The sequence below is a fragment of the Homo sapiens genome, chromosome 7, assembly GCF_000001405.40.
Source record: "Homo sapiens chromosome 7, GRCh38.p14 Primary Assembly".
In the NCBI taxonomy this organism is placed as follows: Eukaryota; Metazoa; Chordata; class Mammalia; order Primates; family Hominidae; genus Homo; species Homo sapiens.
This window is the reverse complement of record NC_000007.14, coordinates 95346798-95370867: the sequence shown is the minus strand read 5'-3', so window position 1 is coordinate 95370867 and position 24070 is coordinate 95346798. Positions and strand designations below refer to the sequence as shown.

The window sequence follows — 24070 nt, the reverse complement described above, 5'->3', positions numbered from 1 at the left end:
TATACTAAAACCCACTGAAGTTTACATTTTAAAAGTCTGAATTCAGTGGTGTGTGAATTATATCTCAAAAATATATTATAAAAACATAAGTTATCAATATACCATATATGCTTTAAAAACAATAGTTTCCAATATTATTTTTGACTTGTTCACAGTTCATAATTTCAAACATTTAATTTTAAAATATTTTTGGGTCTATACAGCATGAAGAAAATTAAGAACAGGGAAACTTCACTAACAGTAACCACATGAAAGGAGGACCAAATTGAAGTGCTAGAATTCCATGAAATCTTATATACACTTTTATTTGCTTAGCAAGCTCTGCTTTAAAAGATAATTGAATCTAACAATTTTTCATTGGTTTATAGTATACAAACTATTTTCATATATAATGGTGTCTTTACTTCTCGAAATAAAATCCTGGGCCCAACCTTGACACTTCCTCTCCCTGGCCCTTTTGATCAACTCATTATAATGTTTTGTTTAATGTATCTCTCCAATATCTCTCCAGTCTGAAATATCTGTCCATCTCTCCCCATCCTCACTGCTACCAGCAGTTCAAGGCCCCAGCATGCCTTCCCTGATTCTGCATGGGCCCCCAACTGTACCTTCCTTCTCATACCACCTCAATTCATTGTCATAGTAAGGATTTCTTTTTATGCAAATCTGATTATGTCCCTCTTTTCATCAAATTTTTCATATTGTTCTGTCACTCTGAGGATAAACCCCAAATCTCCAGAACGGCCTGGGTTCCTGGGTGCTTCCCCTGTACCTTCTGGCACCTGTATGCTCTCCAGTTTCACTGGAAACCATTCTCCTCCAGACTCTCTGGACCAGCCATACTGGATTTCTTTTCATTCAGTGAAGTGTCTCATGCCTCAGGATCTTTACATCTGCTGTTCCCTCTGCCTGGAATGTCCGTCTGCCACTTCTGGCTCACTCTTTGTCATCATTGAAGACTCAGCTTAAATATCATCTTCTCAGGGAAGCCTGCCCACCATCTTGTTCCAATTTGTGTACCTTTCTATATTTCTTCTCAATGTACCTCTTTTTTAAAATCATTCATTACGGTGGTAACTAATTTTTTTTTTATGAGATGAAGTTTTGCTCGTCTCCCAAGCTGGAGTGCAGTGGCACAATCTAAGCTCACTGCAACCCCTGCCTCCCGGGTTCAAGCAATTCTCATGCCTCAGCCTCCCAAGTAGCTGGGATTACAGGCATGCGCCACCATGCCCGGCTAATTTTTTGTATTTTTAGTAGAGACAGGGTTTCACCATGTTGGCCAGGCTGGTCTCGAACTTCTGACCTCAGGTGATCCACCTGCCTTGGCCTCCCAAAGTGTTAGGATTACAGGTGTAAGCCACCACTCCCAGCCTACAGTAGTAACTTTTTTTTTTAAATGTTAAAGGATAGGAATTTTCTTTCCCTCTCCTGCTCTTGCTCTATAGCAAGTTCCTAAACTTAACTGTTACTCTTCAAATGAATGACACTCTATGAAGAACGTGTCTCCCCACTCTAGTATTCTTTGTTTTAATTTATTTAATAATTTTTCCTCCTTGTTTTCCTCTCTCAAATATAATCACCATAAAAGCATATTGATTTGTCCATTGCTGGATTCTGAGAGTCTAGAACAGTATCTGATGCACAGTAGGTACTCTATGAACACATATCAAATGAATAAATAAACGAACCCTATAGGACAGGCAGAGCACATAGTAATATTCAACTTTATAGATGGATACAATGAAGTTTAGAGGAATGCAGTGAAGTGTGACTTCACTTCTGCAATTAGTAAATGGCTGATCCAGAACTCAGACAGAGGAGGTCTCACTTCTAATCCTGTGTCTTTTACTAAAATGAGATTAGGACTCTATTTAAATAATTTTAAAACTGCAACTGTTTTGCCTCACACTGTACAAGACATAAGATTCTGCATTGGAGATGGTATAATAAGTGATTAGATTTACCTGAAACTATTTCATTGCATGGGATCATATTAGAGGTAGAGGTGGAGGTGGGTTTGGGGCTTTTTTTCTTTCTTTTTTTTTTTTTTGTTTGTTTTTGTTTTTGTTTTTGAGATGGGACATGTTTATACAATAACAGTCATATAATCAGGCTTCCATAAGTTGAGTATATTATGATTCACAGCTTATCTTATTTGTTTGTCATCTCCCTTAATTATGTATTTAATTCATAAGGCCAAAATATTACATATAGAAATAGAGATGGAATGAGGAGATGGAGAAGAAAAGTACTCTCACTAAGTATATCTTATTTGGAAAGAGGGATTCAGTAGATGCACTAGAAGAAATGAAATCAGGCTAGCACAAGTGATTGTTCACTATTGTGTCTAGCAAAAGACTGAAGGTCCGTGTTGGGGCTGAAATCCAACCCATGTTCTGTTTGCCACGCCCTGAGCCTTGGAACAGAGCTGGATCAGACCAGAAGGAAGATTTCCTCTGTGAGCAAGCACCTTTCCTTAATTTGCATCAAAGTGCCCAGTGTGTTTCAGAGGTCCTGGTTATGAATTTTGCATCTCAGGGTTTGGGCTTGTTCCATCACGTGCTTAAAAACTACATTTGGGAAAGGAATAGGGAAGATGAATACAGATCAAGTCCTACAGTGGGAGGATGGGACCAGACCCTTTAAAACTCCAGAGCTCATCAAACCTAGAACTCCTGATAAGTCAGAAGACAGCATTCTCAGAGGCCAAATTACTACCCTCAATCTTGTTCACAGCAGTTCACATTCCAATTGAAATGGGTAGGTGACATTTCTGAGGTGGGTACTACCTAGAATTAGTTAGTTTGTTTTATCTCGCATTCATATTTACATGCCATGTCCATTGAGCTCACTAAATATTGTTATGTTGGCTTGTGTCAGAAATTCATTGTCTAGCTGGGAAATGTTGCTTATTTTAAGGTGTTTACACTGCCCTGACATTCACTGAGCTTCTGTTGCAATGTAGATAATTATTGTACACACACAACATCTCAGCAAAGTTTTGTTTGCTTGCACTCACTTCTCTTGCTGAAGGGCCATCTGGGGAAACCACATCCCTGTTTATGCATCATTATAGTTCTGTAGGCTCCTGTTAGACAGGTTATGCATATAAGGGTGAAGTGACTATGGCAAAACATCTTGGCTCTGCCACTTTGTGGTGATGAAATTGCTGATGGATCATTCGCCTCCTGAGCTTCAATTTCCTCAACTAAATCTGGATTCTGGCATTTGTCTGACTTACCTATCATGTAGACTGTGAGGGTAAAATGCAAGATGTAAGAAGAAAACTTTTGGAAGTGACCAAGTTTTAAAACAAGTCTAATATTAGTTGTGATAGGGGTAACTTTCTTGGAAATTATCCCTTTTTTCCATGTAGACAATACTGTGTATCTTTATGTTGTGAATCATCCCCACATGAAGTCCACTGTGGAGATATTTAAATTTGAGGAACAACAACGTTCTCTGGTATACCTGAAAACTATAAAACATGAACTTCTCAAAAGGTATGGAATGAAAGTATTGTGCGGTTCTATTTACTTTGCACCTCTGCTGTGTGCTTTGTATTTTTTGGTTCAGCAGGCTTTCTTAAACTTTTGTTTTGAAATTGTTTTGATTTTTTTCTAAAGCTTTCTAATGATTCCCATGGTGACTCTTCCCAGCGCCTCACTAGAAATTGCCATGTTAGGTATTGAATATGCCTATATTTTCGAGCATTTTGAAAGCATTTTAATCCTATAAAGGTGCTCAATTAAATTCCCAGCTCTAATTCCATTCTCTTTACCACGGCAACTCAATACCTACTATCGGTCTCTGTTTAAACACCTACACCCTTTTTTGGTTGTCCTAGTAGGTTGTGTTCTGTGAGCCTCACCCACTGGGTGTTATAACCAACCTCCAGATGAGCCACTTCTTTGTTTAATTACAGCTTTAAAGTAGAATTTTTTAAAAGTCCTTGGGCACTTATAAAAATTACATTTGTTAAGCATTGACTATGTGCCAGGCACTATGCCAGAATACTTAATTTAACTTAATTCTCACAAAGCCTTTAATAATAGGCATGGGTAAACTAAGACTTAGAGAAGGTTTGGGTTAGATAACTTGCCCAAGTTACACAATTTGTAAGTGGCAGAAACAGGGTATAAACCCAGATCCATCTGAATTCAAAGCTGAGCTCTCAATTGCAATGAACATCTTTCTTACTGCATTCATTAAAATAACAGGCTTTTCAGTGGAGAGGCTGCCTGTTTAAAGGCTGTAGCAAACAATAAAGAATTCATCTTTTATCAAATGGGCTTAACATTAAAAAACTGGCTCCAAAACAGTAAATTGTTTCATGGGATAGAAGAATAGGAAAAGAAAAGAAAGTTCATCTTCTTTCCTTTGCTCTCTTTCTCAACATCATGTATTAATTTCTCCCCACAGAATATGGGGGAAACGAGTGCAGAGCATAGAAGTAAGAGAAGTTGAAGTTATTGAACTCTGCTCCTAATGCACCGTATGGGGTTCTGAGGCCATAGCGGAGAACAGGACTTCCACAGGGTTGCTGGGAAACTGTGGACAAGTCACTTAATTGGTGCCTCAATTTCTTGAGCATAATGGGGATTCTCATTTGCCTGACTTACCTAACTAGTGGATTGCGAGGATCAACTGCTTTAGCATAGGATCTCACAGGAAGAGTCTCCCAGAAAGTGCAGCCTGAGGGCACACCTGATATTTGGCCACTTCATTAGGGAGTACAATCCCAGGAAGCAGACTTGAGAAACCAGTGTGAGGCAAGGAAGGGAGAAGGTTATGGGTTGAATTTTGTGTCCCCCTGCCCTCCCCACCCCACTCCCCCTGCCAAAAAATATGTTAAAATCCCAACCACCACTTCCTCAGAAGGCGACACTTTGGAAATTGAGTCATTGCAGATGTAATTAGTAAAGATAAAATCATGCTGAAATAGAGTACCCTTAATGCAGTAGAACTGGTGTCCTTGCAAGAAGACAGGCAGATATACAGGGAGAATGCTATGTGAAGATGAATACTGACATTGGAGTGATATATCTACAAGCCAAGGAATGCCTGGGACTACTGGAATGCCTTGCTGGAAGAGGCAAGGAAGGATCCTTCCCTAGAACCTTCAGAGATAACATGGCCCTACCAATAACACGGTTTTGGATTCCTAGCCTCCAAAACTGCGAGGCAATACATTTCTGGTGTTTAAGCCACTGAGTTTGTGGTTCTTTGCTGTGCCAGCCCTAGGAAACACATGCAGTGAGGGAGGTACAGCAAAGGCGTCATTAAGCCAACCGCTGCTAACTGACTGCTTGAAATCATGGACTTATCCTCCAGTAATCAGCGTAAGCTGCATCTCAGGACAATCTGGTCAAGGAGAAAAAGGGAGAAGGGTTTATCCACCAGCCCCATCTCCTATTAGTCAAAGGTTTGCCTCAAGAGGCCTTCATTTTCCCACATTCTTGGTTGTTGTGCATGTGCAAGTCTAGTTTTGTGGTATCCTATGACTCAATGTCAACATGAAATCTGGAAGTGGGAGGCAAGAGGCCCACAGTAGGCATGAGCTGAGACACTGCTAGGCTGCCCCTCTGGGAAGTACATCAGACCTGTGCAGAACTGGTTGAAATAGCAGCAGCTGGAACAAGGTAGGTGAGGCTATGAGGATCTAAAGAGGAGCCTGAGGGTACACTGGCACAGGCATTGATAAGCACTTACAAGGGGGCATAACAGAGAGCTACAGAAACAAATTGTGAGGCAGTTTAACCTAATTTATGATGTCAGGCAATACTTTTTGGAGTAAAGAATGCTTAAGCTGAGATACAAAAGGTGAGTAGCCGAGTGACCTTGGGAAAGTCATTATATGTCAAAACTTCAAAGTATTTCCTGATTCACCCAAATTTTCCTCCCTAAAATTTAATCTAAAAATGTTTAAGCATTATTTTTTCAAGTCACTTTTTTTTTCTTTTCAAAAATAAAAATGACTTTATTTTTCTTACGGATTGTAAGAATAAGACTTGCTCTATTTTAAAATGTCAATGATATTGAAGAACGTAAGAAAGAATATCACCCATAATTCCATCTACTCAGAGAAAATATAAAGGTCCAGATGAACTGGGTTATGCTATGATAACAGGACAGCAAAACCCTAACATCTTGGTGGCTCAAAACTGCCAAGGTTTGTTATGTTTTTTCATGCATGCTATGTATCCAGTGTAGGTGATTTAGGGACTCAGTTTCATATTATCCTCATTAAGGGCCCTAGGAGGACCACAGTCTCTATCATCATAAAAGTTGCTCATTACTGTGGAAACATGAGGGAAACATGGTGAAGCAAGCAGTGGTTCTTAAAATCTTCCATCCACAAGCCACTCACCTCATTTCATTTCATTTCATTGGCCAAAGCAAGTCACATGGCTGTGCCTAACTGCAAGGGGATGGGGAAGTGTAATTCCTGAAGGAGGATAACCATAGCTATCAGTGAACTGCACTACAACTGTCACAGATAACCATGATCAACATTTACAAGTCAACAGATTTTGGGGTTTGAGATTTATTTGTGAATTTATTTCTTTTCACTGATTTCTGTGAAAGAGAAGAGTAAGAAAATAACAAATGGCTAAAGAAAACCCATCAGGGCAATGCAGAATCATGATTTTCTGTGGAATTCCTTAATCCATACTAGTTCATGTATCCTTTTTCAAATTGATGAACGTATTAGTCTATGTAGAGATGAGTGATTTTGACAAGGATAAAGGATATTTAAATACCTCATGGGTCTCTTTTTCCACCTCCCTTTCACTTTAGTGTGAATGACATTGTGGTTCTTGGACCAGAACAGTTCTATGCCACCAGAGACCACTATTTTACCAACTCCCTCCTGTCATTTTTTGAGATGATCTTGGATCTTCGCTGGACTTATGTTCTTTTCTACAGCCCAAGGGAGGTTAAAGTGGTGGCCAAAGGATTTTGTAGTGCCAATGGGATCACAGTCTCAGCAGACCAGAAGTAAGCTCTTTTGTGTATTTTTCTATCCTTTGCCCTTGACATTTTCGTGGACTCCTTTCCTTACGAGGAAGTTACTTCCTTACTTAGGCTTACGTAGTGAATATATGTGTGGAGGGATCAGTTGTGGCCAGGGTTCACACTAAATCTGTCATCCTAAGCAATCCATTTGTTTCCTTGGACTTTAGGTTCTTCCCAGTTAAAGGAGGGATGTGGACTTAAGGATATAAGGACCTCATTCCAAATTTTTACATAACTCTTGAAACACACTTTCCTAACACACTACAAAGGAAGATAAATGAGCAATACCCCTGCCCCTTATGAAAGTACAAAGTATTTGACCACTTATGCTAAGTTCAGTTACACAAAAGCTCTTAGGAGAGAGGGAAGGCTACCTTAGATTGGGCATAGGGATTGTATAAGTTTCAGACCTACTGACTTACAACAGCAGACCATTCAATGAGAAAACCCTATTTTAAACAGCATGAAATTTTATGAGAAAACACTTTTAAAAAGTGTTTAAAAATTGGAGGTTTTTTTATAAACAGAAGTACCTTGAATATTAACATGTATATTTGAGATAATGAGCAAAGATGATCCCTGTAGAAAACACCTCTCAGTGTCCTTCCTCTTTTAAAATATTGTGATTGAGCTTTATGGTCATTTGATACTTTTTTTCAAGCACTAGTTTTTAGAAGTATATACACTTTTGGCCTTGTAAGAGATCCACTTACCTTCATTCAATTTAAGGAAAAAGTTGTGACTTCGAAGTAATAAGATTGAGCCTATATATGTCATCTAGAAACACCAGTTTCATTATAGTCATAACTCATATTCAAAGCCTGTTTAAAGCACTTCAAGAATATTAAAAATACTACCCCATTATCTTCTTTTACTGTGGTTTAGAAAAGGATTGCAGTGGTACTTTCAAGGAGTGTGCATTTTTATACCTCTTCTCCAAAATAAAAGTGAGTGTTGTCTCTCATTACCACTTGCTTAAGTGTAAATGTCATTTACTTCAAAGGTATGTCTATGTAGCTGATGTAGCAGCTAAGAACATTCACATAATGGAAAAACATGATAACTGGGATTTAACTCAACTGAAGGTAAGAGTACCCTGTCTGGCCCACACAATCTGACTTCTTACCTTAGTCCCATACTTGACCCAGGAATGTGCCCCTTGAATGAGGAAAACATGGCTATTTGAGAGCAATGCCAGTGAGATTATGCATGCGTTTCTAAAATACAGAAGCAAAGCCCCCTAAAAACACCAACTTTAGGTGCCAGAAGAAGCTGTAGGGGTTGTGGGGATGAATAGGGAAGAAAGCGAGGAATCATTGAGACAATGTCTTCACTACTCCCTCTTTGTTGTAAGGTGATACAGTTGGGCACCTTAGTGGATAACCTGACTGTCGATCCTGCCACAGGAGACATTTTGGCAGGATGCCATCCTAATCCTATGAAGCTACTGAACTATAACCCTGAGGACCCTCCAGGATCAGAAGTAAGTTCCTATACCTCTCTGAGCTCACAGGCAAAGCTGCAAGAACAAATTTGTTGGGGTGACTTGGAAGAATTTAAGCCAGTCACATTTGGTGTTATAGAACTAAAGAAATTTTACGTATGAGAAAAGTAAAGTTTTTGACAGGTAGGGAGATAAGGTTCGTTAACTCTTTTAGGCCACCATTAACTTTTCAATAACTCTTGCTGTTGGGAATAATGGAAAAACATAAGCTCGATTATTCATATTGACCCAGATTGCCATATCGTATTTCCAATCAGGAGATAGTCTCTGAGCAGGTAGGTCTTGCAGTTAGACAAAGAGAGAGTTGTATATGGTACCATCTTCTTTCACACTGTCCAACATGAAGCTAAGATTAAAGGATTTAAATAACTGTCGCCTCAAAATAAAATGAGTTTTTGCCTGTAAGTTCTAACATATACGATGGTGTTGAAAATTGTCTTATTTTCAAGATATCATTTGTGTTATTTTAAAATATCTCTTCTAAAACAATAGCATAATCCATTGAATTTTCTACATTAAAAACAACATTATAAGACAACTGCATTTTCTATGGCATTAAGGTTAACAATTTAAAAATCTTTAGTGAATTTATATATAGCTATAAATTCTAGGCACACATACTCAGAGATTTATTCACAAAAATTTATTGAGTACCTGTAATGTGTCAGACATTGTACTTATGTTTAGGATATATCAGAAAAAATATACAGAGATCCCTGATCTTAAGAAAGGGGGACAAACAATGAACAATAAGCATAAGAAATAAGTAAATTACATAGTAACTTTGAAGATGGCAAATTTTATGGGAAAAAAGGCTCAGCAGAGTAAAGGGGATCAGGATTACTATATGCAGCAGGATGAGCAGGTCCTACTACTAAAGTCAGAGATCAGAGTAGGCCTCATTGAGAAAGTACAATTTGAAAAAAATTAAAATGTGTGAATCCACATTTGGTGATTTGAGAAACTGAAATTCAAATTCAAACCCAGTAATTGGCCTAGTGGGTAAATTAGGACATACAGTTATTTCTACTTCCAGTATTGCTGTCTTTCAGTTAAAAATATGATTATTTCTTTTTTTATTAATGTATTAGTCACAGCTTCTTAAAAAGAACACAAGAAATGTAAAAAGAAACAAAAGTCCAACCTAAGCCTAGAACCAGAATTGTTACCCTAAACTAGGAAGCAATCCTTGCCTCAGATATGTACCCCTAAGAGTGATAGACAAAACTTTCCTTTAAAAGCCCAACCACAATGTCTGTCTTAAGGAAATGAAATATGATACATAGGATTATTGGAGAATTGTTTAGGATCTTTTTCGTATCTCTATTTTCAAGTTGAATTATTTTTAAAATTTTAGATAAGACTTTTTGTCACAATTACTGACACCCTTTAATTTTGGTTGAATCTCATGTTTTGTACATGAAATCAAAGCTTAAGTATTTTTGTCTAACAAACCTGAGATGAAGGATCTCCCTTAAGATAAAAAAAAGAACAAACTCTGTTCTAATAAGAGATATCAATATAGACTCGTAACTCATAAATTTCTAATTGTTTTCCTTTAATTCCAAAATAAAAATTTTATTTTATTTTGTTTGAGTGAACTTCATCCAGCCTATTTGGAAGCCTGAGTGCTTAAATATACACTGATTAGCAAAGTTAAGTGTATTAATCCTGGGATCAATAACAGTACTAGGCAGTGATGTGTCAAATGAAATTCCAAAGTAGTATCCATTATTTATGCTTTCTAGCAACTTTGCAGATGTGAAGGGGCTCCAGCTGTGATGACTGCCATCCCATCAGTTACCATGTTGGGTTGGCTGGATAACTGGGTGTTTCTTCATTATTTTGTCTTGTTTCTCTCCCCATACTGTAATCTCAAAGGCAAGATTCTTCCCACAGAGGGAGGACCACCATCCACTTGAGAACTAAATAAGAGCATCTTAACTCCTTCTGTAAGGGATGCCTGCACTAAAAAAATTGTGTAAGTCATCCCTGAGGAATTTGGCTAATGTCAGAAAGCCAGTTCACTTTGGTGCATAGATATCTATGACATTAGTACTTTCATCAGAAGAAGAACAATTTATTGAAGATATACAGATTTTAGCTTCTGATTTCTGAAAAATAGATTTATCCTAGAATGTTTGGGAAGGACATCATGAAACAGGTGTTTACTCACATAATATACTAATAAACGATCTTTTCTCGACAGGTACTTCGCATCCAGAATGTTTTGTCTGAGAAGCCCAGGGTGAGCACCGTGTATGCCAACAATGGCTCTGTGCTTCAGGGCACCTCTGTGGCTTCTGTGTACCATGGGAAAATTCTCATAGGCACCGTATTTCACAAAACTCTGTACTGTGAGCTCTAGACTCTAGATAGTAAAAAAAAAAAAAAAAAGTCTACATATTTTGTAAAAGTAAACTGATAATTGTATGATAAGTGGCACTGTAAGTAAATAGCAAACACCAACCAGTGAGTGTGGCTTTTCTTATGGATAGAAGTAAAGGAGCAGACAGAGATTCCTTGATAGCCATCAAATTGCAAGTCAGGTTAATGACAGTCCAACAAGAAGCCAAACTTTACGGATCTTTGTTAGCAGCCCCAATGTTCTTTCTACAATAAAACATGTGGACTATGTCCAGTGAGGTCTCCGACTCACCTAGAGGTCCTTGGTAACTGGGTCCAAGTTTCCTCCTACAGTTTTGACGTTCTGGGTCTCCTACAGTCCAGACCAAGAGAAAAGCTAATGTTCAAGTATTTACAACCCCTGTTCTCTCCCCGCAGTTGTGCTGGGCACAGACAGTTAATTAAGTGTACCAGTCTGCAGATAAAGAATTAGCATCATGTGATTGCCCAAAGCCCTTAGAACTTGCATTCTCCCAGGGTACCGACACATAGGAAATTGGGTTCTGAGAAATCTGACAGTTGGGCCTCAGAGGCTACCTTAGGGCAGGGAGTGCTTATCTCTAATAGGCCCTTATTTGTATTGATGCTTGTATCTGAAATACAGTTGGCCCTCTGTAACTGTGAGTTCTACATCTATGGATTCAACCAACCAGAGATTGAAAATATTTGGAAAAAAATGGATGGTTGCATCCGTACTGAACATGTACAGACTTTTTTTGGTCATTAATCCCTAAACAACACAGTATAACACATATTTACATAATATTTAGATGATATTAGGTATTATAAGTGATCTAGAGAGTACCTACATAGGGGAATGAACATAGGTTATATGCAAATACTATGCCATTTTATATCAGGGACTTGAGCATCCGTGGATGTTGGTATCCATCAGAGTCCAGGAATCAATCCTCCATGGTTATTGAGGGACAACTGTTTTGCTAACCTACTGGGCTCTGAATCTTAGATGAAGCCTTAAGGCAGTTATCTTTGACTGCCTTTATCTTACCCTTCTGGTTTATTCAATAAACAGTTATTAAGCAACCTCCAGTAAATTTGGCCCTAAGGAATCTGAAATGAGTAGAATGGTTCTGGCCTAATGTCCTATCTTGAAGACCAACCTTAAACTTAATTTGATGAGAATGAATAGAAGTGTCCTTTTTTGGTCCCAAACCAGTACAACCTTTAGCAAACAAACCATTAATTAAAGTCAGAGCACCCAAGCACCTCCCTTCCCTTTTTGTGACTTTTATTCGGGAGTGGTTGGTTGATGCTTTTTCTCTTTTGGGGAGACCATTTTATATGCAAAAGAACATTGCTCAGTTTTATGTAGGTTTGCTGAAAAGTTTTGCAGGGTAAAATTCTCCTTTTTTCCAGTGTAACCCATTGTGATTTTGACTATAAGACTTTGTAGTTTTCATTGCTTCAAAGAGGAATAAACATTCAGCAGAATGCTATAGTCAGTTATTAGATTTTAAATTTCAAAAGCCTAGCTATCAAGAGAACACAGAATAAAAAAGACATTAAAGACATAATTTAAGAAAATAAGTAGAGTCAGTTTTGAAGAATATAATAGTCTTTGTTTTAGTCCCTAGCCCTCATACTTACTATATTATAATGTTTACCAGACTAGGGGAGAATAAAGAGAGATAGGAAAAGACAAAGATAATTTAGATGCTGGTAAGTTCCTGAGAATTGATCCTGCTCTGCCTTCTCCTCAGGCCAAGTTAGAAAGGCTGGGGGATAAAACTTTCCTCAGGAAATTTGGGTGATCTGATTGCTGAGGGACTAATGTGTCCTTTCCCTGGGAGGGCCTGGGAAAGTCACAAAGCCTTAGGGATTCTCTGTGCTCAGCCTGATGAAAAAACAGAGAAGAAATGCTAGTGTGATTTACTGGGGATGGCATCACACCTACACTTGAACTTGGCACAGAAGCAAATTCCCACGTGCCCAGAGGGGTATGGGGGTTAGCAGAGAAAGAACTGATAGACTTAAAAAGGTCTTGCTGTCAGGAAAAAGAAAATAAGTAGTCATCTGATTCAAATGAAGACCGAAGTTTAGACGGTGACATCAAAGACCAGCTGTCTCCCATGATGCTTTAGCTCTCCCTGCTGGATTTTAGAGAAAACTCCCAGGATTGGGAGGGGGCTTTGGAATTGCCTTATATATTGATTTGTGCTTCCAAACAATGTGTGGGGAGTCAAAAACAAAATTACATGAGGCTGTGGAAAAAATAAGTTCTGTTACACTTCATGGTTTTAGCTTTTTCAGAATTGGAACAGGATAGAGTGGAAAGAACTTAGTCTTTTGCTAATGGACATGTGATTAGTATCTTTTATTCCTTGTTCTGTGGCTAAGACCAATGGACTATTAAGTTGGTTTTCTCCTGGAAATGCCAGTGGAAGATCCAGCATAATCTCTTTTACACTTCACCCCTGCTCTTGCTCCAAGTAGGTCAGTCTCAACCTTCAGCTACTGGGATCCCCTCACTCAGTGTGTCCTCTCTTTGGGAGAGGCCTTGGCAAAGTGGTTGAAGCTTGGATTCCTCCTGGAGTAGGCAATTTACCCATTCTTTCCAAAGGATAGGGTTGTTGATTGTCCCATTATCATCCTCTCTTTGCCTTGTCATCTCCCTTCAATAAGTTTTTTCTCCCCTTCATAGGGAGGCACAGGTTTACCAACAGGCCTGCAGCCTAGACAGTTATCTCAACCAATTTTCCCTTTGCATAAGCACCCCCAATCTTTATGTGATTATCTTGAGCCTCTTCACTCACTTGGCTTGGGAAGGAGAAGAATCGCTCCTCACAATAAATGCTGCATTTTGATAATTCATTCTCTTCTCTTCCCTAGTCTTTCTGCTTAATTATCAGAGACATGAATTGGGAATACAAGGGTGAGGGTTAGAGGTAGATGAACTCTTCCAGGAGCCACAAGCAAGCTTTGGTTGTGATATTTGACTTCAAGTATTTTCAGCAATTTTCAGAATGTGGGGTACTTGGTGCTTTGTTGTTTTTATCTTTGAGCCCTTCGATGCTGATTCTATAATCACAGAAAAATTCTCATTCTGTATTCCTTTGGCATCAAACAGGTTTTAGTTTCAGGTAGCAGAAACCACTCTATCTAGTTTTTGGGGAAAGTGATCAAATGCAGGAACTAATGCTTCACAAAATGCTGGGGTATTTCCTTTGCGTTTGGAAATAAGACAAAGATTCTCTATTTTACCATGACTGTTGTTTAACATAGGATTGGAAGTCCTGACCAATGCTATAAGATAAGAAAAAGAAATAGGCTGGGCACAGTGGCTGACACTTGTAATCCCAGCACTTTGGGAGGCTAAAGAGGGCAGATTGCTTAAGTCTAGGAGTTCCACACCAGTCTGGGCAACATGGCAAAATCCCATCTCTACTAAAAATACAAAAAATTAACCAGCATGGTGGCACATTCTTGTAGTCCCAGCTACTTGGGAGGCTGAGGTGTGAGGATCACTTGATCCCAGAAGGTCAAGGCTGCAGTGAGCTGTGATCACACCACTGCACTCCAGTCTGGGCAACAGAGAGAGACCCTCACTCAAAAAACAAAAGAAAAATAAATTAGAACTGTAAGAATTGTAAGGGTAGAAATAGAACTATTATTGTTTGTAGATTACATAATCATCTACTTGAAAATAAAACAATAGAACCAAGAGATATACCATTAGGATACTCAACAGTGTTGCCTGATACAAGCTAAATAATAACATTTAATAGCAATGACAATTATGAATTTGAATCATAGAGAAGATAGCACTCACAATAGCAAGAAAATCTATACAGCATCTAAGAAATAAATATGTTAACTGGCCGGGCACGGTGGCTCACGCCTGTAATCCCAACACTTTGGGAGGCCGAGGCGGGTGGATCACGAGGTCAGGAGATCGAGACCATCCTGGCTAACACGGTGAAACCCCGTCTCTACTAAATATACAAAAAATTAGCTGGGCGTAGTGGCAGGCGACTGTATTCCCAGCTACTCGGGAGGCTGAGGCAGGAGAATGGCGGGAACCCAGGGGGCAGAGCTTGCAGTGAGCCAAGATCGCGCCATTGCACTCCAGCCGGGGTGACAGAGCGAGACTCCGTCTCAAAAAAAAAAAAAAGTTAACCAAGAGTACACAAGACCTCTGTGGAGAAAATGTTCAAACTCTAATAAAAGGTCTAGAAAATATTTTGAATATGTAGATACATATTCTAGGCTCCTGGATAAGGTGAACTTATAAGGATATAAATTCTCTCCAAATTAATCAGTAAATTCAAAGTCTAGTAGAATTCTTTTAAATAAATGACATAAACTTATTTATATCTTAAAGGGACAACTTTGATTTCTAGCAATACAACAGGCTAAATAATTCAGAACAAAACAGCCTAATATAAACAACAAAAGATAATAGAGAAAATATTTTTGAAAGCATCAAATATCACACAAGATAATATAGAATCAGCAAATCATAATTTAAAGGAAAGCAGAAATCCAGAAAGGTAAGCAGGATTGAATTCGGTCTTGTCCTGAGGGCATCCTAACTGATTGATCTTGTGCTTTGGGTTTTAATGTCTCAGAGGGCAAGGGGAACAGAAGCCAAATCACAGTTCATCCTAAAATGAGGAGTCTAATAAGGGACCAACACCTATAAAACCAAAACCCTCTGACCCCAAAGGGCTAAATATTCCTCTAAGGTTGAAATAAATATAAATCTGTTCAATATTTCGACTCCCAGAAACCTAAAAAGAAAATTGTCTTGGGACTGAGAAAAGTAAAATAAATACATTTAATATTGCTGATTAATTTAATATTGATGAAATAAATTCAAGATTGTTGTTGATATCCATCTGCTTATCATCACTCAGATTTTGAGCCAAATTCCCACTGATTGAACGGAAAAAAAAAAAAAACTCAAGCTGTAAATTTAGTATAAAGTCATACCATATTTGTAGTATATTTACTCACCTGGCAGAAACAAACACATATCCTCTCTGGATTTTATCCTAGATCTTAAGAAACCTAACAAATAATTATCTAAGCAATGAGCAACAAATCATAGTAAATAAATAAATAAATAAATAACCAAAGAAACAGAGCAGGAGAAACAAAAGCCAGCAGAAACAAGTGATGGCAGAAACAGACTTGCAGAGACCCCAAATACAGAAATGATCAAATAGAGGCTCAATAACTATACTTACAGAGTTTAAAGAAATAAAAGACAATTTTAAACCCAGGGTACAGTAAATTGTATAAAAAAATTGCAACAGATTTGAAAAATATAAAATTGAACTTTCAGAAATGAAAATCTAGTAATAGAAATTTAAAACTTAATGAGTAGCCAGGAAACATTTTATTATTGAGGTATAGCAGCTTAAAAATTGTTCACATATACATTTATAAAGGGTCTCACAATCTGAGGGAAACATTTTCCACTTTTTAATTTCAAAGCACACAAAAAGTGTTACTCCATTGGAAAGGCTATGAGGATGACTTCTAATCTTCGGGACTCAAATGCCTCGGGATAGTCACTCAAAGCCTTTTTTTTTTTTTTTTTTTTTTTTTTTTTTTGAGACAGGATTTCTCTCTGTCACCCAGGCTGGAGTGCAATGGCATGATCATGGCTCACTGCAGCTTTGACCTCCTGGGCTTAAGCAATCCCCCTACCTGAGCAGCTGGGACTGCAGGCGTGCACCACCACACCCAGTTAATTTTTTTTTTTTAATAGATAGGGTTTCCCCACATTGCCCAGGCTAGTCTCAAACCCCTGGGTTCAAGCAATCTACTTGCCTCAGCCTCCCAAAGTGCTGGGATTACAGGCATCAGCCACTGCACCTGGCCCCACACAAAGCCTCTAAATACACCCTCTTAAGGTAGATGACTGGTGAGGTCATGTAGGTTGCAAATAAAGACAGGCCAAAACATGCTCAGGCTCAGATAAAGTTATGGGTTATGTGATACATGTGGCTAATTATTGGAAAGGGGGAAAGGGACCTGAATTCATTCTTAAGTTTTTGAGGTCAGTTTTTCGGAAACAGTGTGGGGTTGTGTCAAGGACATTAGGGAGCAAAAAAAAAAAAGAAAAGAAAATGAGAGACAGAAACAAAAACCTTTAATGGGTGAATTTAACAGGAAATGTAGCAGATCTGAAGAGATAATTAATGAAATGAAAAATAGTTCATGGGAGATTATATTCAGTATAACACGGAAAAACTGAGAGAGGAAACTCTAAAAAAGACATGGAGGCTAAAAGTGAGAAGATCTAGCATAGGACAAATTGGATCCCCAGAAGGAAAGGAAAAAAAGAAAAGAGTTGGGTAGAGAAAATATTTTAATCATGCTGAGACTTAGAAATTCATACCTAGCCATATCTTGGTGAAACTGCAGAGCATCAAACACAAAGACTTTAAAAGGAGCCAAGGGTGGGAAGAACTATATTGTTCAATCAAAATAGACTTTAAAAGTAAAAGTATTACCATGGATAGAAGGGACCACCCAGAAGATAGAGTGATTTTAAGTGTACATGTTCCTTCTAATACAACCTTAAAATATACACAGCAAAAATTTGCTGAACTACTACAAGAAAAATACAAACAGTCGTACTGTCATCATGATTGATTTTAACTTGGCATTCATTGTTTATTGGTAGAACTAGCAAAATTTTTTTAAAAAGATTAGTGAGAATAGAGAGTACCTAAAACACACAATTTGCAAACTTAACCTAATAGGATTATATAGAACCTTGTGCCAAGTAATTGCAGATACACATTATTTCAAGCTCACAAGGAGCATCTACAAAAATTGACTATATACCTGGCTGTCAAGCGAGTCTTGATAATAGTATATATTGTCTGACTACAATGCAATCAAGCTTAGACTCAATTTTTTAAAAACCTAGAAAATTTGCATGTTGAAAAATTATGTAACATTTCTAAATAATCTGCGAGTCAAAAAAGAAAAAGAAGTAAAATGGAAATAAGAAAGTGATTTTAATTGAATAATAAAAATTTTCCAACAGATAAAATCTTATAGGAAACAGCTAAAATTAAATTTAAGTAAAATTTATACTCTTAAATGAGTACAATAGAAAAGAGGAAAAACTGATATTAAAGAGGTAATATCATCCTTTTGTTGATAGAAGAAAACAGCAAAGTAAGACCAAAGAAAGTTCAAGAAGGGAAATAGTAAACATCAGAGCAAAAACTAACATAGTAGATAGCTCTAGGATTGTTAGCAGTGGTGGATCCATATGGGTCTGCAGCAACTTGATTCTTGCCTCCTCAAAGGAAATAATTTACCTAAGGGGTATAAGGTAGAGTGAGAGACCAAGGCAAGTTTTTGAACAGGAATGAGAGCAGGAGTGAAAGGAAAGAAAGTATACTTGGAAGAGGGCCAAGCGGGCAACTTAAGAGATCCAAGTGCCTCATCCAACCCTTCACTTGGGGTTTTTATACATTGGCCTGGTTCTGAGGTTTGCATCTCTCCTTCCTTGATTTTTCCTTAAGGTGGGATTTCCACATGTGCAGTGGCCTGCCAGCACTTGGGAGGGGCTGCATATGCAATGTGTTTATTGAAGTTTTGTGTGTGCTCACTTGAGGCATTTTTCCCTTACCAGTTGAGCATTCCTAGAGGAAGGTCATATACCAGTTAAACTCCACCATTTTGCCTCTTAGTATGCATGCTCGGGCCCACTCACCCAACTCCTGAGACCTTATCGGGAAGCTGCTGATCTTGTTTCAGGTGTTTTCTATCTGTTGGGAGCCTGCCTGTCCCTGGCATCAGCTGCAACCAATTACTATTTTAGTGAGACAGCTTAACAATCACCTGGCCATCACCTGATCATCTGATGGTTGCCTGAGATTCATGGAAGCAGCGGCGGGGTGGGTGCCTCTTTTGCCCTGTTCATGTCTGCCAAACTACCTACTCTAACATTCCCGACCCAATTCTTTGGGAAAATGGACAAAGGTCAGTCTTCTGTAACTGCTTCCTGCTGACAGAAGGACGGTGATGATTGTTCTGTGGGTCTTGGCGTCTTGCTGTCAGGGCAGGGTGGCTTTGTGGGTTGGTGAAAGTGGTATCCAGCAAGGTCCAAGGGAGACAGGGGCAGGATTTCGCTTCTTTCATGTCTCACTGATGGGCAGTCTAGTGGTCCTCTGTAGAAGTGTGACTCTTGAATATTGAGACGATGGTATCTCTCACTGAGGATCATCTGAAGCTTGATGGCCTGAAGGTGTGAGGAGACAAATCGGGTTGCTAGATTTAGAAGACATGGCCCAAAACGGAGCAAAAGTAGGAGACTAACAAGTGGGCCTAAAAGGGGAATAACTCAGGAGAAGCATTTTCAGCTTCCTTCCCAATCTAACCAACCCTGAGAGGCTTGTTCCAGTAAACTGGAGGCTCAATTTAGGAGTTGTCTGATATTGTACTTTTCCTGATTGATTGACCCATAAGCAAAATTTTTCACCTAAGGCTAAACAAGTTTCTCTCTGTGCTGCTGTTAACTTGTCTAACTCCTGATAATTTTGGAGGACTATAGCTGCCAAAGAGTCAATTTGTTCTTGCACAGTTGTTAAGGTTTTAGCCGTAGCATCAATGTTCTTGGCTATTTCCCTTGAGGGCTGGCTATGGGTCAAGGAGGCTTTTGTGATTCTAGCAATTCTGGTTCCCATACTGGCTATAATACCAAGTCCTGTGAGAAGGAGAATTAATTGGATAGCCCTCCTCATCCTGGAAAAGATGGAATGCCTGTAGATTGGTGCTGGAAGAGAGAGATTGCCAGGGACTATGAAGATGTCTAGGGATACATAGCCTATGGTACAAGTTCCAGTCCGGTTAGTGGGGAGGCACTGGTGAACTGGCTGGCCACAAATATAGAAGGCTCCTTGGGTTTTAAGATAAGTAGAGATGTAAAAATGAAACAAGGGGGTGAGGACAGCTCCAAGAAATGCCAAGGCTGCCAACACACCCAGGTAGCTGGTGGCTATAGTCATGCCTGCTAAGACTTATGTGCATGGGCTTTGGTTCTGTTTAGTTCCCTTGGTTTTATTTTCCTAAAAAAGAGAATTTTGAGTCTGGTCCAATAGAACCCATTCTTCTGTAGAAATGAGATTGGCAATTTGCAGGCATTGGTTGTATCAGCAGGCCGGAACCAGAAATTTTGAATACTGCAGGAGCTTGGGTGTCCCTGGCAAAACTGGGTGGATTTATCCAGCAAAGTTCCCAGAGGAAAGGTAATATTTGAAGGTTTGGGAAATCTTGTGTGATGGTAGAATTAGTTGTGGGTGTACGTTTGGCAAGTTCGTTGGTTAGGATCTACAGTGAGAGTAACATTGCTAACTGTACTGGAAAGAGCCCCAACATCCATTCCATTTTTCTTATTGGCCGTAATGCAAATAGGGGCTAGTCCCATTAAAGTGGTATTAGAAAAGATGGATCCAAAATTGGGAGGTTCTTTGCAGATATCAGGGAAATCTTGCTTTACTTTTGCAAGAAGGCTATTTGCAGGCCCAAACATCTCCCATTAGCCTCCCATTGATAGAAAATATGCAGTTCTGCCTTTATACTTGTCCAATCTCTTGGTGAGGCTGAATAAGCTCTCCCTGCCGTTTTAGCAGAAGAGCTGGTACATAACCAGCAATTGGTGGAGTAAGGGGATCCTGTGCTTTGGAGCAGTTACTGAGCTTTTTCCAATAATGGGAAATCAGGATGGTAGTGTCCTGCTAGTAAAGGGGTGAGATTGAGAACCAACTGGAGCAGGCCCATAGCAACCTAAGGTGACTGTGAAGAGAGAAACTGGTCACAAAGAAAGCTGCCACTGGAAGGCCTAGTGGTGTACAAGTTAGGGTTAAAATAGTGATAATAATCAGAGCAATTGCAAGTAAGATTTCTAATATTAAGATCATCTTACTCTGAAGAGAAAGGATGTTGAGGGGCATTACTTATCTTTTCACTTAAAGAGGAATCACAGATTTTCCAGTGCCTCTCAAGTGTGTTCTGGAGCTGAGGGCATTGCTTCCAGATCTGGTGTTTTGGAGCCTTTCCATGGCTTCACTCAGGTGTGATGTATCCAACTGACAATCTCTGATACTTTAATGGCTCTAAGGGTGAAGAGGCCCCTTCGGACTGGAGTTAGTTGGGAATTCAGAGTTCCATCTCTCCAAGCTTTAATAAGAACTAGTGAGCCTGGAGGATACAGAGGCTGGTATTTTTCCCCTTCTGATTTTGGCTTTCTTTGTAACCAAAATTCCTGGAGAGCCTGTTGGAAACCTGCTAAAGAAGAGACACAGTAGGTGATTTTGGCAGTTTTTTCATCTAGCATTAAGTCTGAATATAGGAATGGCTTACCATATAAGGCCTCAAAGGGGATTAATTGCAAGGGAGTCTGAGGGGCAATATGGATCCAAAGTGGGGCTAAGAGTAAGAGGTCCACCCATGGCTGTGCTGTTTTCTGACAGAGTTTATTGAGTATGTGTTCGAGGGTTTCTTTAGTTCTTTCCACTTTTCCTGAAGGTTGTGATCACCAGGCAAAGTGAAGGTACATTTATGCTTACTAACGGCCCTACTAACCTGTTGAGTTACTTAGGAAATAAAGGATGGACCATTGTCACTTTGCAATGACCTGGGTAGCTCAAACCAGGAAATGCATTCCTTTAGGAGGAATTTAGCTACCTCCTGTGCCTTCTCAGTCTTTGTGGAGCAGGCTTCTACCCATTTTGTGAAGGTATCTACACAGACCAAGAGGTACTTTTACCTGAAGCCTGCAGGGAGATGAGTGAAGTCCATTTGCCAGTCCTCCCCAGGGTATGTACTTCTCCTCTGGATTGGACTTATTAATGGAGGGGGCTTCCCTCTCTGGGAATTATTTATGGTACATAGGGTATAGGCTTGACAAACCTGTTGAATGGTTTTGTTTAGTCCCTTCCCACTGAACACTTATTTACAAATTTGTCCTAGACTGTCCTTTGCAAGGTGGAAGAAGTTGTAAAAACTCTTAATGACTTTCCATTGGGAGGTTCCATTTTTGGACCCATCTTTTCTAATATCACTTTAATGGGAATAGCCCCTATTTGCATTATGGCTGAGAAGAAAAATGGAATAGATATAGGGGCTCTTCCCAGTACGGTTTGCAGTGTGACTCTCACTGTAGACCCTAACCAACAAACTTACCAAACATACACCCACAACCAATTCTGCCATCAACCAAGATTCCCCACACTTTTCTCCATCTACCTGCCAATTTCTTCATCTCTCCTCCAATTTCTCCATCTACCTCCCAATGGAAAGCTTTTCCCTGGGAGGCTTTCCATTGGGAGGTAGATGGAAAAATTCTTCCAATCTGTACCATCCACTGGTTTCTTCTTTATACCCATGTTGGCTGGACCAATCTATTTCTTCCTTAGTGTATTGGAGAAAGGGCAGTTCACTGGGGAGAGAGAGGAACAAGTCTCCCATGAAGGTATCATTTGACATGGCTGCCTCTTCAGCATTTTTGTCAGCTAACCTGTTTCCCCATGTAGTTTAATAGAAGCCCCTGTGGTGTCCTTCACAATGCTCTACTGCCACTTCCTGGGGCAAATGAGCAGCCTCCAGTAGCTCTAAGACTTGAGACCCATACTTAATAGGAGCATCCTGAGCTGTTAGGTACCTTCTTTCCTTCCAGATAGCCATGTGGGCATGAAGCACCAAGAAGGCATATTTGGAATCTGTATAGATGGTTATTCTTTTTCTTTCCCCTAGTTTTAGGGCTCTGGTTAGTGTGATGAATTCGGCTAGTTGCACTGAGGTCCCTGGGGACAGAGCTTTAGTCTCTACAACTTGGTGATGGGACTCTGTAGCATACCCTGCATATCTAGTTCCATCCCTGACGAAGCTACTGCCATCTGAAAACCATATTTTGTCTGGATTATCTATGGGCTGATCCTTTAAGTCTTCCCAGCTGGCATAAATTTTGTTAAGAATCTCACAGCATGAATATGTTGAGTTATCATCTCCTGGTAGTGGCAGTAAGAGGGCTGGGTTAATGGTGGAACACTGCTCAACTGTTACCTGTGGGTTTTCCAACAACAAGACTTGGTACTTTATCAATGTGTTGTCAGTGAGCCATTATGGTCCTTTTAAATTCAATAAAGGGTCTATTTGGTGGGACATTAGGAGCCAGATTGATTGTCCCATTGTGATATTGAAGTCCTCCTCGAGAATAAGGGCTGCTGTACCCACTACCTTGAGGCAATGTGGCCACCATTGTGCTGCTGGGTCTAGGTTCTTTGAAAAATAACCTACAGCATGTTTGACTGGCCCAAAGGTTTCAGTTAGAACTCCTAGTGCTATACCTTGCCTTTTCAGTGATGAAAAACTGAAATGGTTTGGTTAGTATGGGTAGCTCAAGGGCTGGGGCTTGTGAGAGGGCAGTTTTTAACTACCTAAAGGCTTGCTCCTGATTCTTTTCCCAGAGATTGTGTCCCTATTAGTCCCTTCTTTTAAAGCCTGATATAAGGATTTAATAATTCCACCACATTCCAGTATCCAAAGTCTGCAGTATCTTGTGATCCCCAGAAAAGCTCAAAATTGCTTTTGGGTGGTTGGTGTAGTATTCTAAGGATTGCCTGTATCTATTCTGCAGAAAGCTTGTGTTCTTTGAGGCTCATGATTATCCCCAGGTATTGGATTGCTTGTCTTAGTAGCTGTGTCTTGGCCTTGGACACTTTGTACCTTCTGTCTGCAAGGAAATTTAGATGTTGGATTCCTAACTCTCTTGTTGGGGAGCAGATTAACAGGTCATCCATGTACTGTAGGAGATGCCCTCCCATATAAAGACTTAGGTCCTGCAAATATCTAGCCAAGGCTTGCCCAAACAAATGGGGACTATCTCTGAAACCTTGTGGAAGCACTGTCCAGGTGAGCTGTTAACTTCTTCCTTTTTCATTCTCCAACTCCAATACAAATATAAATTGGGAGGATGGGTCTAGGGGGATACAGAAGAAATTTTTGAAGTCTAAGACCGAAAACCACTGAGCATCTGGAAATCTTCTAGAATTACATAAAGGTTGGGGACCATTGGGTGTATTCGGACTACTGCCTCATTTATGACTCACAGATTCTGGACTAACCTGTATTCTCCGTTAGTCTTTT

The 24070-nt window shown here is 39.4% G+C and overlaps 1 protein-coding gene and 1 pseudogene across 1 annotated transcript in view; one reads left to right on the top strand and one right to left on the bottom strand.

Annotated features, from left to right (window-relative positions):
• PON3 (paraoxonase 3) overlaps positions 1-10996 on the top strand; it is a 36504-nt gene extending 25508 nt beyond the window's left edge. Inside the window, exons 5-9 of the mRNA NM_000940.3 lie at positions 3380-3506; positions 6805-7005; positions 8027-8108; positions 8378-8506; positions 10737-10996. Coding sequence (NP_000931.1) covers positions 3380-3506; positions 6805-7005; positions 8027-8108; positions 8378-8506; positions 10737-10895 — 698 coding nt within the window. The 3' untranslated portion in view covers positions 10896-10996. The remainder of the gene's footprint in view (positions 1-3379; positions 3507-6804; positions 7006-8026; positions 8109-8377; positions 8507-10736) is intronic.
• LOC100533722 (endogenous retrovirus group FRD member 1, envelope pseudogene) lies at positions 18901-20904 on the bottom strand (annotated as a pseudogene).
• Between the last annotated feature and the right edge of the window lie 3166 nt (positions 20905-24070).